At 40.1% G+C, this 19,769-nt stretch overlaps 1 protein-coding gene and 1 long non-coding RNA gene across 6 annotated transcripts in view; one reads left to right on the top strand and one right to left on the bottom strand.

The window, feature by feature from the left end:
* The window catches only part of ARHGEF26 (Rho guanine nucleotide exchange factor 26), a 136,823-nt gene continuing 126,304 nt past the window's right edge, over positions 9,251 to 19,769 (bottom strand). For 3 of the 5 annotated variants that reach the window (NM_001251962.2, NM_015595.4, XM_011512672.2), the window contains 3 exons: positions 13,893 to 13,960; positions 12,252 to 12,356; positions 9,251 to 11,745 (listed from right to left, as the gene is read on the bottom strand). In NM_001251962.2, coding sequence (NP_001238891.1) covers positions 11,603 to 11,745; positions 12,252 to 12,356; positions 13,893 to 13,960 — 316 coding nt within the window. In that variant the 3' untranslated portion in view covers positions 9,251 to 11,602. The remainder of the gene's footprint in view (positions 11,746 to 12,251; positions 12,357 to 13,892; positions 13,961 to 19,769) is intronic. The other 2 variants (NM_001251963.2, XM_047447954.1) reach the window with 1 other exon arrangement.
* Positions 13,103 to 18,608, top strand: LOC105374167 (uncharacterized). Its single transcript, XR_924597.4, has 2 exons — positions 13,103 to 15,754; positions 15,849 to 18,608. It is a non-coding gene; the product is annotated as an uncharacterized LOC105374167 (long non-coding RNA).

Below are 19,769 nucleotides of genomic sequence, written 5' to 3'. Positions count from 1 at the left end.
TGTTTGTGTCCTCTTTTATTTCTTTGAGCAATCATTTGTAGTTCTCCTTGAAGAGGTCCTTCACATCCCTTGTAAGTTGGATTGCTAGGTATCTTATTCTCTTTGAAGCAGTTGTGAATGGGAGTTCACTCATGATTTGGCTCTCTGCTTTTCTGTTATTGGTGTATAAGAATGCCTGTGATTTTTGCGTATTGGTTTTGTATCCTGAGACTTTGCTGAAGTTGCTTATCAGCTTAAGGAGATTTTGGGCTGAGATGATGGGGATTTCTAGATATACAATCATGTCATCTGCAAACAGGGACAATTTGACTTCCTCTTTTCCTAATTGAATACCCTTTATTTCTTTCTCCTGCCTGATTTCCCTGGCCAGAACTTCCAACACTATGTTGAATAGGAGTGGTGAAAGAGGGCATCCCTGTCTTGTGCCAGTTTTCAAAGGGAATGGTTCTAGTTTTTGCCCATTCAGTATGATATTGGCTGTGGGTCTGTCATAAATAGCTCTTATTATTTTGAGATACGTCCCATCAATACCTAGTTTATTGAGAATTTTTAGCATGAAGGGCTGTTGAATTTTGTCAAAGGCCTTTTCTGCATCTGTTGAGATAATCGTGGGTTTTGTCTTTGGTTCTGTTTTATGATGGATTATGTTTATTGATGTGCGTATGTTGAACCAGCCTTGCATCCCAGGGATGAAGCCAACTTGATCGTGGTGGATAAGCTTTTTGATGTGCTGCTGGATTCGGTTTGCCAGTATTTTATTGAGGGTTTTTGCCTCGACTGATCAGGGATACTGGTCTAAAATTCTCTTTTTTTCTTGGGTCTCTGCCAGGCTTTGGTATCAGGATGATGCTGGCCTTATAAAATGAGTTAGGGAGGGTTCCCTCTTCTTCTATTGATTGGAATAGTTTCAGAAGGAATGGTACCAGCTCCTCCTTGTACCTCTGGTAGAATTCGGCTGTGAATCCATCTGGTCCTGGACTTTTTTTTGGTTGGTAGGCTATTAATTATTGCCTCAATTTCAGAACCTGTTATTGGTCTATTCAGGGATTCAACTTCTTCCTGGTTTGGTCTTGGGAGGGTGTATGTGTCCAGGAATTTATCCATTTCTTCTAGATTTTCTTATTTGCGTAGAGATGTTTATAATACTGTCTGATGGTAGTTTGTATTTCTGTGGGATCAGTGGTGATATCCTCTTTGTCATTTTTTATTGTGCCTATTTGATTCTTCTCTCTTTTCTTCTTTATTAGTCTTCCTAGCGGTCTATCAATTTTGTTGATCTTTTCAAAAAGCCAGCTCCTGGATTCATTGATTTTTTTGAAGGGTTTTTTGTGTATATCCTTCAGTTCTGCTCTGATCTTAATTATTTCTTGCCTTCTGCTAGCTTTTGAATGTATTTGCTCTTGCTTCTCTAGTTCTTTTAATTGTGATGTTAGGGTGTCAATTTTAGATCTTTCCTGCTTTCTCTTGTGGGCATTTAGTGCTATAAATTTCCTTCTACCCACTGCTTTAAATGTGTCCCAGAGATTCTGGTATGTTGTGTCTTTGTTCTCATTGGTTTCAAAGAACATCTTTATTTCTGCCTTCATTTCGTTTTTTACCCAGTAATCATTCAGAAGCAGGTTGTTCAGTTTCCATGTAGTTGTGCAGTTTTGAGTGAGTTTCTTAATCCTGAGTTCTAATTTGATTGCACTGTGGTCTGAGAGACAGTTTGTTATAATTTCTGTTCTTTTACATTTGCTGAGGAGTGCTTTACTTCCAAGTATGTGGTCAATTTTGGAATAAGTGTGATGTGGTGCTGAGAAGAATGTGTATTTTGTTGATTTGGGGTGGAGAGTTCTGTAGATGTCTATTAGGTCTGCTTGGTGCAGAGCTGAGTTCAATTCCTGGATATCCTTTTTAACACTCTGTCTCCTTGATCTGTCTAATGTTGACAGTGTGGTGTTAAAGTCTCCCATTATTACTGTGTGGGAGTCTAAGTCTCTTTGTAGGTCTCTAAGGATTTGCGTTATGAATCTGGGTGCTCCTGTACTGGGTGCATATATATTTAGGAGAGTTAGCTCTTCTTGTCGCATTGATACCTTTACCATTATGTAATGGCCTTCTTTGTCTCTTTTGATCTTTGTTGGTTTAAAGTTTGTTTTATCAGAGACTATGATTGCAACCCCTGCTTTTTTTTTATTTTCCATTTGCTTGGTAGATCTTCCTCCATCCCTTTATTTTGAGCCTATGTGTGTTTCTGCAGGTGAGATGGGTCTCCTGAATACAGCACACTGATGGGTCTTGACTCTTTATCCAATTTGCCAGTCTTTTTCTTTTAATTGGGGCATTTAGCCCATTTACATTTAAGGTTAATATTGTTATGTGTGAATTTGATCCTGTCATTATGATGTTAACTGGTTATTTTGCTCGTTAGTTGATGCAGTTTATTCCTAGCATCAATGGTCTTTACAATTTGGCATGTTTTTGCAGTGGCTGCTACCAGTTGTTCCTTTCTACGTTTAGTGCTTCCTTCAGGAGCTCTTGTAAGGCAGGCCTGGTGTGACAAATCTCTCAGCATTTGCTTGCTGTAAAGGATTTTATTTCTCCTTCACTTATGAAGCTTAGTTTGGCTGGATATGAATTTCTGGGTTGAAAATTCTTTTCTTTAAGAATGTTGAATATTGGCACCCACTCTCTTCTGGCTTGTAGAGTTTCTGCTGAGAGATCTGCTGTTAGTCTGATGTGCTTCCCTTTATGGTAACCTGACCTTTCTCTCTGGCTGCTCTTTAAGATTTTTTTTTCCTTCATTTCAACCTTGGTCAATGTGAGAATTATGTGTCTCAGGGTTGCTCTTCTCGAGGAGTATCTTTGTGGCATCTGTGTGTTTCCTATATTTGAATGTTGGCCTGCCTTGCTAGGTTGGGGAAGTTCTCCTGGATAATATCCTGCAGTGTTTTCCAACTTGGTTCCATTCTCCCCGTCACTTTGAGGTACACCAATCAAACATAGATTTGGTCTTTTCACATAGTCTGATATTTCTTGGAGGTTTTGTTTGTTTCTTTTTACTCTTTTTTTCTCAACTTCTCTTCTTGCTTTATTTCATTCTTTTGATCGTCAATCACTGATACCCTTTCTTCCACTCAATCGAATCGGCTACTGAAGCTTGTGCATGTGTCACGTAGTTCTCGTGCCATGGTTTTCAGCTCCTTCAGGTCATTTAAGAACCTCTCTGCACTGTTTATTCTAGTTAGCCATTCGTCTAATCCTTTTCAAGGTTTTTAGCTTCCTTGCGATGGGTTCGAACATCTTCCTTTAGCTCGGGAAAGTTTGTTATTACCGACTTTCTGAAGCCTACTTCTCTCAACTCATCAAAGTCACTCTTTGTCCAGCTTTGTTCTGTTGCTAGCGAGGAGCTGCAATCCTTTGGAGGAGAAGAGGTGCTCTGGTTTTTAGAGTTTTCAGCTTTTCTGCTCTGATTTCTCCCCCTTTGTGGTTTTATCTACCTTTGGTCTTTGATGATGGTAACCTACAGGTGGGGTTTTGGTGTGGATGTCATTTTTGTTGATGTTGATGCTATTTCTTTCTCTTCGTTAGTTTTCCTTCTAACAGGACTCTCAGCTGCAGGTCTGTTGGAGTTTGCTGGACGTCCACTGCAGACCCTGTTTGCCTGGGTATCACCAGCAGAGGCCGCAGAACAGCAAATGTTGCTGCCTGATCCTTCCTCTGGAAGCTTTGTCTCAGGGGGGCACCCACCTGTATGAGGTGTCAGTAGGCCCCTACTAGGAGGTGTCTCCCAGTTAGGCTACTCAGGGGTCAGGGACCCACCTGAGGAGGCAGTCTGTCTGTTCTCAGATATCAAACTCAGTGCTGGGAGAACCACTATTCTCTTCAAAGCTGTCAGACAAGGATGTTTAAGTCTGCAGAAGTTTCTGCTGCCTTTTGTTTAGCTATTCCCTGTCCCCAGAGGTGAAGTCTACAGAGGCAGGCAGACCTCTTTGAGCTGTGGTGGGCTCCACCCAGTTCAAGCTTCCTGGCCGCTTTGTTTACCTAGTCAAGCCTCAGGAATGGCAGACGCCCCTCCCCAGCTTCGCCACCGCCTCGCAGTTTGATCTTGGACTGCTGTGCTAGCAGTGAGCAAGGCTCCATGGGCTTGGGACCCTCTGAGCTAGGCATGGGATATAATCTCCTGGTGTGCCATTTGCTAAAACCATTGGAAAGGTGCAGTATTAGGGTGGGAGTGTTCCGATTTTCCAGATACTGTCTGTCATGGCTTCCCTTCGCTAGGAAATGGAATTCCCCAACCCCTTGTGATTCCCCAGTGCAGCGATGCCCCGCCCTGCTTCCCCTCACACTCTGTGGGCTGCACCCACTGTCCAACAAGTCCCAGTGAGATGAACCCGGTACCTCAGTTGGAAATGCAGAAATCACCCGTCTGTGTCGCTCACGCTGGGAGCTGTAGATTGGAGCTGTTCCTATTCGGCCATCTTCGAAATCCTGTTCTATACTCTTAACACTATATTGTCATTTGTCTATGTTTTCCTTTTAGTTCTGTTTTGTACTTCATATATTCTAGTTCATGTATTCTGTCCTAGTTTGTACTTCATGTATTTTAAAGCTGTATTACTTGCTGCATACATATTTAAGATTTTTATGTCTTCTTGGCATACTGACCCTTGTATCGTTATATATTGTCCCCCTCTGTGCCTGATAATTCCCTTTGCTCTGAAGGCTTTGTCTGATATTAGTATAGCCATTTCAGCTTTTTTTTTTTTTTTTTGGATTGGTATTTGCTTGACATGTTTTTCCCTTCATTTATTCTAAACCTACCTATATTTATTGTATTTGAAATGTGTTTTGAATGGATAGCATATGGTCCGGTAATTTTTAAAGTTTCTGTGAATCTGTCTTCTAATTACAATTTAGACACTCAAATTTTATATATTCATTCATGTTAGGAGTGAAGTCTGCTGTTCTATTTTTGCTTTCTTTATATATTTTTTTCTTTCCTGTTTCCCTTTTCCTGCCTTCCTGTGGGTACCTGATTTTTTTCTTATTTTTTACTGTTCTGTTTTGCCTTGTCTATTGTGTTTTTAAATATATCACTTCGTATACATTTTTTGTTGCTCAGTGGATTACAGTATACATATATAACATCAGTTGACTAGTATCAACAGTTTGACACTTCTAGTGAAATGTAAGAACTTTACAGCCACTTAGGTATTTAGCTTACTGCTTTATAATTTATTTTCTTAAATAATTCCTTTACATACATTGACAACCATGTCAGATAATATAATTTTGCTTTCAGCCATCTCACATTTTTAAAACTCAAGGATAGCCTATTATATTTACCCAAATGTTTACCCATTCTGTTCTTCATTCCTCATCTTCCAAGTTTCATTCTGTTATTTCCTTACTTTGAAAAACTTTCTTCAGCAATTCTTTTTTAAAAATTAATACTTCACTTTTTAGAGCAGTTTTAGGTTTACAGAAAAATTGAGCAAAAGGTACAGAGGTCCCATAATCCCCTTTACCCCCTCCCACCAGTTTTTTTAAATTAACATCTTGTATTATGGATTATATTTGTTATAATTAATGAGCTAATTTTGATACTTCATTATTAAAGTCCGTAGTTTACATAGGGTTCACTCTTTGTGTTGTACATTTTGACACATGTATATGTATCCACTATCACCGTATCAGAGAACACTTTCACTGCCCTAAAAAATCCTCTGTGCTCTACCTATTCTTCCCTCCCTACCCCTGAGTCCCAGGCAACCACTCTATGTGGTTTGCCTTTCCAGAATGTCATTTATTTGGAGTCATAAAGTGTGTAGGCTTTTCAGATTGGCTTCTTTCACCTGGCAATGTGCATTTAAGGTTACTTCATGTCTTTTTATGGCTTGATAACTTTTTTTTATTGCTCATTAATATCCCATTGTATAGATGTAACAGTTTATCCATTCATCTATTGAAGGACATCTTAGTTGCTTTCAAGTTTTGACAATTATGAGTAAAGCTGCTATACACATTTATGTGCAGGTTTTCCTGTGGGCATATTTTCAACTCATTTGGATAAATACCAAGGAGTGTAATTGTTGGATCATATGGTAGGTGTGTATTTCTCTAAGAAACTGCCCAACTGTCTTCCCAAGTTGTTTTTGCATTTCCATCAGCAGTGAGTAAGAGTTCCTGCTGCTCCACATCCTCATCAGTATTTGGTATTTTCAGGGTCTTAGACTTCAGCTATTCTAATGAATATAGTGGCATCTCCTTTAAATTCATCCCTCATGTATGATCTTAGATATCTTTTCATATGTTTATTTACTAATTGTGTTATCTTTGGTGAGTTGCCTAGTTCCCCCCCCGCCACCCCTGAATTTGAACACTGGGTTGTTTTTCTGTTGAGTTTTAAGTTTTCTGTATGTTTTTGATTGCCAATCCTTTGTTTTGCAAATATTTCCTGTCTGTGGCTTTTTATTCTAACAGTGTCTTTCACAGAACTGAGGTTTTTACTGTAAAAGTTCAACTTACCAATTTTTTTTCTTCATGGACCATACTTTTTATGTTGTAGATAAAAAGTCATTACCAAACCCGAGGTCACCTAGATTGTCTCCTATGTCATCTTCAAGGAATTTTATAATTTTGCATTTGGAAAGGCCTAACTTTCCAAATAAATTGATAATTCTTAATTTTTGTTTTCTGACCTACTTATGTTGCCATCAAAGAACTCACTCTGCATAACTTCAGTTCTTTAAAATTTGTTGGAATTTGCCTTATGGCCCAGGGAATAGCCAAATGTTGTAAATATTTTATGTGCTTGAAAAGTATGTATATGCTGAAATTGTTTGCAGAGTGTCCTATATATTCCCATTATGTTAAACTATTTCATTAAAATTTTCTATTCTTTTCCTGATTGTATCTATTCTTCCTATCAAATACTGAGAGATGTGTTGAAGTCTCATGCTATGATTTTAATTATTTTTTCTTATATTTCTGCCAACTTTATTTAGTTGAGGCCATATAGTTAAATATGCTAGGTTATTGCTAGAATATATATTTAAGTTACTCCATCTTCCTGATTAGATGAAACGTTCATCACTATGTAGGCACCCACTTTATCCCTAGTGATACCTTTTACCCTAAAGACCACTTTATGTAACATTGATAGAGCTCCATTTAGTGAACGTTGTGATGTTCTGCCCTGACCCCCCATCAGGACTGAAGGACTTTTTGCTTTAGGTGCTGGGAATGCAACTGGATGACAGCCTTCACCCATCAACCCTCTATGGGAATTGTCCTGAGCTGAAGGGAGCCACCTTATCCAAGACCACTCTCTTTTCCTGGGGATAGCCTGCCTCTCATATCTGGTCAGAGCAGGGTTATAAAGGTCCAGCCCCTTGCCAATGCTGCTTTCTCTCTCCACTCTCCTCTGGGATTCCAGTTAAATCCCTACATTCTCCAGGTCTCCTCTCTCCATGCTTCCTTATGGGTAGAATCTTCTAGCCTCTCTTCCCGTTCCCCAATATCTCTTTTAACTCTTACCTAATCTGGCATTAAACGCGGTTCCATAATTTCTAGGTTTTTTTCTTCTACTACACAGCTGTGTAGTTCCGTTATGGCTTTATCTCCATCAACAGCAATGGTAAGTACTTTAATGTCTATACCTAATGATTCTAGTATACAGAGTCCCTGTGTTTGTTTTTTTCTGGATCACAATGCCATGTCTTAGTGTTTACTGAAACTTTGACAATTTGCTTTTAGAAGTAACAGAAGTCTTAGTTCTGATGATGCTGGTTTCTTTCAGAGACAGGATGTGTTTTCTTCTTCCAGGACTTTAATATACTGAAAACTCAGAAAGCAAACCTTTAGATCTTTCAGATTCATACTCCCACAGGAGAATAAGCCCTTTAGGGACCAAATCCATGAGAAGTGTTATTAATGGTACTAAACACTGACCTGGATTATTTTTTAGCACTGCAAGTCCACCAAGTAGCTCTGCCTCTCTGGTACTTGCCAAAGCCTAGGAAAAATGCATCAGCGATTTCAGATAGGGGATGGAGCAAATAGGAGGATGCATCCTGCTACTTCCAGGGATGGTATTCCTTACCTCTTTCCTCTTCCATCACTAGCTTGAGTGAAAATCCAGGAAAGAAGGCTTTGAGTGGTGTATTCTAAGATAGAGGTAGCTGATTGCTGTTTCCTATCACATAGCTAGGTGTATCTTAGCTGCAAGAGATGCTGGAAACTCTAAGCCTCAAACATCTTAAGGTTTTATAGAAGGTGTTATAGGCAGAAATCTAAGATGTCCCCCAATATCCCTCCCTGATACTACATCCATAATTATTTTATATTGCATGGCAAAGGAATTTAGCAGATGTAATTAAGGTCCCAAATCATTTGATTTTGAGTTAGTGTCATAAGGGACTTATCTCATGAGTCTAACCTAATTATGTAAGAAGTTATTTAAAAGCAGAGTTTTCTCCCGCTGGTAGCCTAGGAGGGAGTCAAACAGATTCCAAGTGAGAAAAGGAGTTAACATGCCATTGCTGCTTTGAAGATGGAAGGAGCCTGTGGCGAGGATATGAAGGGCCTCTAGAAGCTGTGAGCAGCCCCCAGCTCACAGCCAGCAAGCAAACAAGGACCTCAGCTCAGCAACAGCAAGGACGTGAATCCTGCCAATAACAGAAATGAGCTTGAAAGAAGACACCAAGCTCCAGGTAAGAAAGCAGCCAGCCAACACTTAGAGCCTTGTGAAACTCTAAGCAGAGAACCCACCCATGCTATTCTAGACTTCTGACTACAGAACTGTGAGATATTAAATGGGTATTGTTTTATGCCACTAAGTGTGTGGCAATTTGTTATGCAGCAAAAAAAAAACTAATGTCAAGGAAGTCATTTTTTTACTTCTACCAAGGTTCACAAGGTGGTAAAATTTCACAAACACAAGGGTTCAGATACGAGGTGACCAAATGAATGGTAGAATATGCTCCAGGGGATAAGGGAACTGTGCACTATGTAAGATAAGCGATTTAGTCCTGCAGGTTTATGCCAACTACGAGAAGAAACAGCATGACCCATCTCCTAAAAATGTTCTAGTCTTCTAGGGCAGCTGATGCCAGCATGTACCCAAAGAGAAAAGATTAGTCCTCTGAAATGTTAGCTACAGATACCTTTTAAATAGAGCTCTGATTTGGCCAAAAACCCAGGAAACTGTATACTTAACTGAAAACAACCTAGAGTAAAATAAATCACACCAGCACAAAAGGACAAGTATCTACAAAATCTTTATAAATTCACATATTTTTCTGAAAGTGTACAAGCAGTCTCAATTTACTGGGACAAAAATGAACATTTTTGTTCTTTAGTAATGAAGTCAATGTACAATTCAGAGCAGGTGTCCATAGAAACAACTAGGTTTGAAAAAACTTAAGACAATTCACAGTTGAAATCAAACAAACACTGTGAATGTGTTAAATACTTGCCATATAACAACACTTTAACATTGATCTTGCTAAATAAGGCTATGATTCATAAGATGCATGTATTTCCAAAGCTGTTTAACATTCTTATAAATTAATTCACAGGATTCAAATAGTTGCTTTTTAGCTTCAACTGGGTATTAGCAAAAATAATACAAAATGATCCCCGTGCAAGCACAAATTTACCTTCCTTCCTAAATAAAACATGACAGATTATATTACAACTTGATAGCCTCTCTTTTAAAAAGTCTGTGACATTATTAAAGAGGTGACGGAATGCTTGTTTTGCAAACCCCAACACATCTTTCACTGTGGACCATTGCTATTACTTCATTAACACAGTTGCTCAGATCTCAAGGTACTCACGGTCTGAAATATATTTTACAATTAGAAGGTATGCACAGGTCAAAAAGAGCAATCCAAGGGTTAGAAGTCCCCAGTGCCCCACACTGGCTCATTGCCGAGGTGACAGGGTGCAGGCTGTGTGAGCCAGGCACACTTACCCCTCAACTGGGCTTCTGTAGCTTTACAATTTGGATAACTAGTTAGCGGACAGTAGTTGGGACATGTCACATACAGATTTGAGTCCTCCAATAATGTACACTTTGCCAGGTTTTATCCCTTTGTTAAAGCAAATAGAACAGAGAGGGAATATAGCTGCCAGTAAAAATCATTTCCCCCCTCTTAATCTCCCATCCTTCATCTCCATGAAACCGACTATTAAGATAACCTTTCTCTCTCTGTGCACTAGTGGAAAAAGTAAAGTTCTATAGAAACTCACAGTTAAGAGGGACTCTGAATACAGCAAGTTAAGGCTTTTAGTGCAAATAGAATGAATTCCCACTAAGGTCAAAAGGTTTCAATTGGGTACCATGCTGACTTCTTGGTATCTTTTAAGGCCTAATTTTCCCTTCCTTGAGATTACTGTAGTGTGTTCCAGCTAATTTCTATTTGGAAACGAGTTGGAACAGCTGAAAACTAGGTATTATTGAAGGCAAAGCAGCCTCACGTCAGTTTTTTATCAGCTCATTTGGGAAGGTTTTTTTTTTTTTTTTTTTTTTTTTTTAATTAATTAGAAAGTAGGCTGGGCACGGTGGCTCATGCCTATAATCCCAGCACTTGGGGAGGCCGAGGATCTCCTCTCTGGTGGATCACTTGAGGGCAGGAGTTAAGAGACCATCCTGGCCAACATGATGAAACCCTGTCTCTACTAAAAATACAAAAAGTAGCTGGGCGTGGTGGCATACTCTTACAATCCCAGCTACTTGGGAGGCTGAGGCAGGAGAATCACTTGAACCTAGGAAGCAGAGGTTGCAGTGGGCCAAGATCACACCACTATACTCTAGCCTGGGCGACAGAGGTGGGGAAAAAAGTAGGACCCCTGTCCTATATTCAGGTTTTTCTCACATATATGAACCCATCTAAATTCTACGTTGTTAAAGGTAGCTTAGGTTAATTAGTCTATACTTATTTAAGAACAATATGGGGTGAGATGGATTTTTTTTTAAAAATCCTAAAGTAAGGCTTTCTACTTTCCTTCTAATGAGGAAAAAGGTGACAAAAATTCAAGTGTCAATGTCCCCTTCCTGGGAAGAGGTTTAGAAAAACAACAGCTCACCTTCTGAACTCTACCAGTTCCTTTTGAAGTTAACGAAGCATTAAAATCAGATGTAAAAAAAGAAAAAAAAAGGCAGGGAAATATTTACAAAACTGGACATTCTTTACAGATATACAATCTTGCTAATACTGGGAGAACCATACAAGGATGTATAAAGAGAGACAGTCACCTTAGTAATGCAAGGATAGAGAAAACCAGGATATAATATGTGTTTTTTATTGCCAGAACATGGTGAAACTAGGAGGAGCAGAGATGACCTGATCCCTGAAGTGAACTGCTCAGCTATTCTGTGTACCTCAGGAGGTCTGCAAGTGTGTGGTTAGGTAAAAACTGAGCTGTGCAAACTCACTGTATCCAAGCTCTTCTCATGAGAGAGCAGAACAACCTGGCAAGCTTAAAGGCAAGTGTTTTCGTTCTTTTAATTAAATAGGCTGTGACAAAATTAACAATAAAACTAGCCCAGAACCAACCAGCCCGGTAAGTGTCGTGCAAATCTTGCAGTAACAAAAGACCATCTGAGAGACTACACGTTGGTCTCCAGTCCTAGCAAGCGTCCCATTCTCTCCACATTCTTATCAATTGTAGCTTGACATGTTATCTCCTTGGCACATTCCATAGGAAACCAGCCTCTTTCTCCATCTCGTAGTCGTTCCCCCTCATACCAGCCTGTGAAAAAGAACAGAGTCCACACCAAACAACAAGTATTTGGAGTGTGCCAGGCTCCAAGGATATGAAAAAGCTGAGAGGCAGCATCCCTCCCCAGGCTAAGTGCTACGGTGAGAAGAGAAAGTGGGACAGGGAAAGCTTTCGAGGGGGAATGAATGACATGGCAGGGAAAGAACGTGAGCAGAGGCCCTGAAGTGAGAAGGCTGAGAGTATTTGAACCTGGGCTGAGCTGGGAAAGGAGATGCTTTGGGTAAAGGATAGCAGGAAGAATGCTATTTTTGAAAGGACGAATATTTAGAGATAAGAACTGGGTCACTGAGGGACTGGGGAAAAAAGAAAACGTCATGGTTTAGCCTTAGAGATGAGAAGACAGTACATATATGTGATCTCAAACATTAACATGTCAAGATTTGGAATATGGGCAATGATGACAAAATGACACTCCTCGGGTCTATAGCACTCTGCATCCTGGACCACGAGTGTCCCATAAGAACGCTCCCACTCACCATCGCTGACACGTTGATAGATGAGGACGACGTCAGCCACCTGCAGGGAGAGTTCATCTGGCTGCTTAGCAGTAAATGACCTAACGATTTCCACCTGGGTCAGTGCTGAGGCCAAAAGAGGACATACTAAGTTTCCAGTAGCAGAGAAAAAACATGTGCAATCCAATAATGTACACTTACTTATTTTTCTCTGCAATTCAGGGCCAGCATTGAGAGAAACAAGTTGGGCTTCTAATAAAAAGCAGAACATCTTTTCTAGCAACTCCCTTGCTTGGCTATAAGCTTTAGAATTTTAGAAGCTCAGATTTGAGAGGCCTTTTATGATGCATGATTCCCCTCAATAACAGGTTGATCAGGAGTCATTAGTCATGTCACACAATGGAACAGAAAACAGCCACTCTGCATTAGGGAAACTGAGACATGAAAGAGTTGCTGATGTGCCAAGGCCATGCAAAATCTGCAACAGACACAGTTCTCCTGGCTCTCATCAGAGTGTCTCCCCATCCCAACAGCAGCACATGAAAGTTTCCAAAAAAAAGTTTAGAAATAAAATGAGCTCCAACCAAAAGCTGAGAAGTCATGTTAGACCTCCTCAGAAATGCTGACATGTGGCCGGGCACGGTGGCTCACGCCTGTAATCCCAGCACTTTGGGAGGCCGAGGCAGGCGGATCACGAGGTCAGGAGATTGGGACCATCCTGGCTAACACGGTGAAACCCCGTCTCTACTAAAAATACAAAAAATTAGCTGGGCATGGTGGCGGGCGCCTGTAGTCTCAGCTACTTGGGAGGCTGAGGCAGGAGAATGGTATGAACCCAGGAGACGGAGCTTGCAGTGAGCTGAGATAGCACCAGAGCGAGACTCCATCTCAAAACAAACAAACAAAATGCTGACATGTGACTTCTTAATTTGCTTTTTAATACAAAGCTTGATTTCCGGGAACTTTCAAACCAGTCATTTTGGCTTTTAATCTAAGCTTAAAGCTATAATTTTTGAGTGTTCCAGGATAACAATGTTTTGTTCTAATTCTTTGGATTTGACCTTGCAACTGTAATAATCTAAGAAACCACAGCATCAAAGTTAGGAAGCTAATAGGCATACAACACCCCCCTTCACTGCGCCAGTTTCTAATTCTCTAGAATAGTGAAACACACTTTCTTAGAAGGTCAAAAAGAATTCTTAGGTAATTTTCTTTTAGATTAAAAATACTTTTCAGCTTAAATCCAGACTGTCAGTATGTAGAAGGTTTAAACATGATCAACTGTTGCCCACTGATAATAGCTAAAAATTTAAGGGCTTTACAGTTCAAGTAGGGCTTTTAACATAGATTATTTAACTTAATCTTCACAATAACCCCATGTTGTATATAATGGTGTAACTGACTTGCAGATGGTTAAATAGGCTCTGCAATGCTAAGCAATGATTTGACACGTTTACACAACAAAGAAATGCACCTTGGATTTGAATTCAGACCCCCTGACTTCCAAAGCAAGGATCATACATTTTTGGTGTAAAGCAGAAGGAAGCCCTGGAGGAAACTTAGGCAAGTATTGTGGCAATATAACTCGTTAGTAACCCGGCGTCCAGCAGGGGGCAGAGCCCATCCATGTTCCCAAGTGGGCTTCCCCTTGAGAGAACTTACAGGTTCGGTCTGCAGGCGGCTTCCCGCTGCTGTGTCCCAGGGCAGTTATCCAGCGGGCTCGCTCGCTCCTAAAACAGAGGGCAGATCCAACTGAGAGACTCAAGGTGTAAAAACACAGAATGGAGTGTTTTCTAGGCAGCCAATGCAAAGGCACTCCCAGAAAACAAGAGATTCTCTAGAGAGGTATGGTAAAACAGGGTGAGAGTAGTTTAAAAGTGATAAGCTGGAAAGTCTAAAATAAGCAGGAGACTAGTCATCATTGTCAAAAGAGTCTGAATGAACTTGGCTCATTATTGATTAAAAGGAACTTCCCATATGACAGTTTAAAAGTTAATAAGGAGCTGATTACACGAACACATTATAACTCCAAAAGGTATTTAGCATACCCATAATTTGATGTTTAACATTTCAAAAGCAGTTAAGTTTCATTTTTTAAAAATCCTACTAATTTCTCTGCTTCCTCCCCACTTCCCTTCCCACACACTCAAACCTTTCCGTAAACTTGAGAAACTTGACATATTTAGTTGTCTCATCCCTCATACAACTAATTTTGCCAAATATGAGTCTTACTGAAATAGAAATTCTTTGGCCACTTTTACACTGTTCCCAAATGCTTAAAATGGTTTAATGAGCACAGGAAAAATGACCAATACTTTTAATATAATATTAAGCTATAATTACATAAAAATAATTATTCAACTAAAGGATCAAAAGTTTCAGATAAGCAAGCACTTCTCTACATAATGCAGTCACCCTGGTTTTTTATTTTGAGCACCAAGTATTAAAATTACAATTAATTAAATACTGCCCCGCCACACACATACTTTTAACTCTCTTATGTATTTATTAAACACATGCTACATGTCAGACACTGCACTCAACATCCACTATTCCATGTAATCCTCTCAAAAGCCCATCTGAAGGATGCTAAGATCAGACAGAAGTTCAGAGGCAAGCAATTCAAACCAAAGTCAGTTTCTACTGTGCCACTCTACATTCTTAAGAAAAAATGCCTTCATGACCAACACCTGGGGAAAAAAACTCTTCTCTCATAGCAGCCTGAATCTACAGATGCTTGTCGCTGTCACCCCACCTTCATCCCCATATGCATCCTTCCAACCCAGGCAGAGAGGATGACTTACCGCATTGGAACATAGCACCCTTGCCCCAGCCTTTCCTATTCCTTCCCTGTTTTTGCGTAGATAAGCCCACTCATTATTGCCATTAAAATTTCTTAACATACATAACATAAACTGAGTTAATCATAAGCGTGTACAGCTCTGTGTTTACTTACCAAGACACAGATGCGCCAGGCATTTCCATTCTGACCCTTTCCAATCAATAACCTCTGTCCAAAGGTGACTGCTCTTGTTTTCCATTACCATGGAATTTCTATTACCATGCTTCTTTTGTACTTTTTGCAAATGAAATCCTTTAGTATGTATGCTTTTGTATTTGGCTTCTTTTGCTCAACATATATCCACTCAATGCTGAAAACACAAGGCTCACTTCCTCCAGTGGGGGCTCCTCTGATACATAAACCAATCCTTCCATCTCCATCCCAGTCTGATAATCCTGTTTCTAGGGCACCCCTCTGCACAATTCTATTATATTGCTGGTCAACAGTAAGCCTCATAAAAGCAGGCAGCTTATCCATTTGGTTCACTGCATTATCTCTACAACATTGCCCAACACGTAACAGGGGCTCAGTATATGTCTGCTAATGAATGAATTATATAACTCATCACATATTGAGCCCAATCATTTACTGACTCATCTGCTTCTCTTACCAGGCTATAAACTCCAGAATGGCAGGAATTGGGCCTTGTTCTAAATAATATTCTGAAGCACCTATGTGTCAGGTATGGTACTAAACAATTGCAAGTATCATCTAATCTAATTTTTACAACAATCTTGAAAAGAAAATATTACCAAAATTATTTCTATTTTTTTCAGAGGACAAAGCAAGTCTGGTATGTTAAGCACCTAACCCAGGCAGTCTGAAATCAAAGAGGTGGTGTTACGCAGCAGGTGTTTACAAAATAATGATGGAAGGCAGGAAGGGTGGAAACTGTGGTATCTTGAAAGACAGGCATTTTCAAAGATTAAGATGAGGCTGGGCCTTGATCAAGATGGTGTGTCAAGTAGTAATATGCACAATTTATATAGAAGCCAAGGCTCCTGTCTTGCTTTTAAAACCTCTCTCTCTCTCTCTCTCTCTAATACAGGACAAAGGGCTTTACAATAGTTCTGTAAGAAATAAGCAAAGCACAACTTCATGTAAAATAATTCCCAGGCAAACACTTGTATCTTTGCTATGATGTCTTTATTGGGAATAAGATCTATTTTTTACACAGGCTCAAGTGGAATTTGCAAAGTACAAAGCCAATCGAAAACAAAATACCTCATGAATAGAAGTGTTGCTCACCAAGAGAAATCTAAAATGATCCATTTGTGTCTCTCTATGCCATACTGAAACAAATTATACATAGCCTATACTGCTGTCTTCTGGAGCAATTTAGAGCAACTTGGAGCCAGTGAGGCAGATCTTCCTGTACACAGACACCGTCTCTGGCACTGAGTGGCCAGTATCAGCAGTGGCTTTGCCCTACAGCCAGTTTCCAGAAGTCCAGATGAAATCTTTCACTTCTGTGGCATGCTGCCTGGATGCTAATAGCATCTCTTAGACATGGCCACCCCTCACAGGGACTCCAGAGGATAGAACAAGACACTCCTTGTTGCTATCACTAAAAGGAGCAGCTTTTTGAGACTTTCAATTGAGTGAGTCCCACCCCCCCCTCTTAGATGCTGTCAAATCCACAGGACTTCCCCTGGGGCTTTCAAGAGTCTGCCAAGAGGCCGGGCGGGGCGGCTCACACTTGTAATCCCAGCACTTTTGGAGGCCGAGGCAGGGATCACCTGAGGTCAGGAGTTCGAGACCAGCCTGACCAACATGGAGAAACCCCATCTCTGCTAAAAATACAAAATTAGCTGGGCGTGGTGGTGCACGCCTGTAATCCCAGCTACTCAGGAGGCTGAGGCAGAGAATTGCTTCAACCTGGGAGGCGGAGGTTGCGGTGAGCCAAGAGTGCACCATTGCACTCCAGCCTAGGCGACAAGAGCAAAACTCCGTCTCAAAAAAAAAGAGCCTGCTAAGGAGCTCCCCCAGCTATGAAGCAGAAAGTACTACATCTCTAAAGCAGGAACTAAGTTGTTATAAGATGGATTCTAGGGACAGGAAAAACCAGGGCATAGACTTACCCACGATTAAATTTAGACATGAAGTCTAGGGCTCACTCACAGACATCTATTTTCTCCAGGGACGTATCGATATAAAACAATTGAGATGAATTCACAATCTACCACACAGCCAGTTCACAGACTTTTCCCTTTGCACAAAGTGACAAGAGTAAGCAATGCTGCACTGAATCCCATCTGTGGCATATCAACTTTGAAGACTCGCCTTACCACTCCTTCCTCTACCCACATTCACTTTGCACAGGCCCTGGGCTAGCTTGGAGAGGTGCACAGCAAATACACTGGAGTCCCTTGCTTTTTACCGCCCTCAGTATGAGGGAACACACAGAGCAGAAAACACTCACAAAATCCAATACAGCATGCAGTGTGCTGAAATGGAACACTCTACCAAAACATTTGACCTACGTAGAGAAAGACGACTAAATTGAAAAGAGACTCTTTTAACTTAAATGTCTATAAATGTAGTCTTTTCATAACCCTCAAGTTCTCCATGCATGGCATGAAATGATGTTTCTACAGTTTCCTATCAGCTATGGTAGCACCTTGTCCTGTCTCTCATATAATTCATTATGCACAGTAGGTTTAACTTAATTGCATGAAGGTCAAAGATACAGCAAAGTCTCACTTCTTATGGAATACCAGGCATCAGCTACAAAACATAGATACATACTGAGAAAGTAGGAAGTAGGCTTTGAAATCACAGAGACAGGGCTGCAGGTGAGGCTGCACAGAACAGAACATTGGCTGAGGACTCCATCACTAACAGGGTTTTCTGATTTCTCAATAGAAAAAAATAGCCCTTAGTTGCTCTTTAACCTTCCTTTTATCCCTCCCAAAGTGGCATTTGACCAGTTACCTTTTGTGTTTCTTTTTACAGCCTACACATTTACCTGTGGTTCCTTTTGATTTCTCTAAAGTCCTTCGAACCTTTGTAAAGAATAGGATTGTGAAGATAGTTGTTTCTGTTCATTCCCTCACAAACTCAATTCAACTAGATTAGTTCAGAAAACTGATCCATGAAAGAAAGCCCCATAGCGTGAAAAAAAGTCATTAAAAATGCTGAGACCAGGCCTTAAAAAACTAGATATCAGTTCAATTTGCCAAATTTTAAAAAATCTAACTGAAGCAAAATAATATCCCTAGCCCACTAAGAGTTCTAAAATTTAGATTTTTGTCACATGCTATATAGTTAAATCAATTATTTCTTGTTTATCATATTACATTAGCTCAGACCTAAAAAATCTGGTCCAGAGTCCTTCAGTTAACCTGAAGCGGGTCAATGATGTTTTCCTGCTGATAAAAGACCTCTTGTCCTATTGGGGTTGGTGATGAGGACCACATTAAGATCAGATCCTTTGACAGGCACTAGATAAATGTAAGATTATGACTGGACTTAGAATTTAGATTTAACAAGGAAAAAAATGCTATACCCTACAATAAATAAAATGTTTCCATGTATACTGTCTTTATGTTGTGATTTTTCTAAAAGGATGAAGTATATGACTATGTCAGAGATACTATTTACAATTTTATTCCATTCCATGTACTTCCTGTTGTTAATTAAATCATTAACAGAAGCAGGAAAAGCTCAAAGACTCCCTGCAAACAATGCCCCTTTATCAGGAGGCCCAGGAATTGGTGTCTGGATGGTTGACAGCACCAACCACATTCATTATGCTTCTAGCTCTGTGAGGGAGAAATTTTGAGAAGGATATTTGATTATGGGCTAAGGTCATCATATCCTATAACTGACATATAATGAGTGAGGAAAGTTTGTGTTCATCACTGAACATGTCCTAGATGTTTCATGACGGTATACACTACACCCAAATGACATCTAAATTTTACTGCAAATGCAGGAAGCCAAGGACTCCACTTGCCACAGCCTGTTGTGTGTGCCAGCTGCAGCTGTCTGTGCTTCATTTTAATGAAGGCAGACAAAGGGGGCTCTCTGGCTCCCACATTCCTCTTGAAAGGCCCAGAGGGAAAAAAGAATGACAGTGGTAAAACATTCTTCCTTTGTCCTTTTATAAAGGGTAGACTTCTGTATTTTTCACAGAGTATTGTCTCATTGACGATACCATGACTTAGGGCCTGTCATGGACAAACAGATATAACACAGTATACATGACTTCGACGTACATCCTAAAAAACATTTGACTGAATCCTTAATAGCAAAAAATTGAAAAACAAGTAAAATTTGGGAAAAACCTGCTCCAGCAGTAACAAAAAGGGCAGTAAATAGAGACAGGAAGCAGTTTTTCTCCACACCTGGTTACTCTTCTACCTTGTCTCAGATAGAGAAAAGCTAGTTATAATAATTATGGGTCAATCCCAAAAATATTTATTGGGAACCTACTCGCTATGTACAAAGCAAGGAAAGGACAAAACTAGAGCTGAGCTTAGGGATTAGTGATAAAACTACTGTATTGATGGGAGAGGAGAATGGCTAGGAGGCCATTGGGGTAGTTCAAAAGCCATGTGGTTGACCTAGGAAGGAGGCAGTGGAATGGAAAGATGGGGAAAGATGAAATAGACTTTTACACAGGAAGAACTGGCAGGTGATGGATCTGTTCTGACACAGAAGCATCAAAAACAGCACCAAGTCTCCAGACTGGA

Source organism: Homo sapiens, chromosome 3, assembly GCF_000001405.40.
Source record: "Homo sapiens chromosome 3, GRCh38.p14 Primary Assembly".
In the NCBI taxonomy this organism is placed as follows: domain Eukaryota; kingdom Metazoa; phylum Chordata; class Mammalia; order Primates; family Hominidae; genus Homo; species Homo sapiens.
The sequence above is the reverse complement of the archived record's forward strand: the minus strand, read 5'-3'. Positions and strand labels throughout refer to the sequence as shown.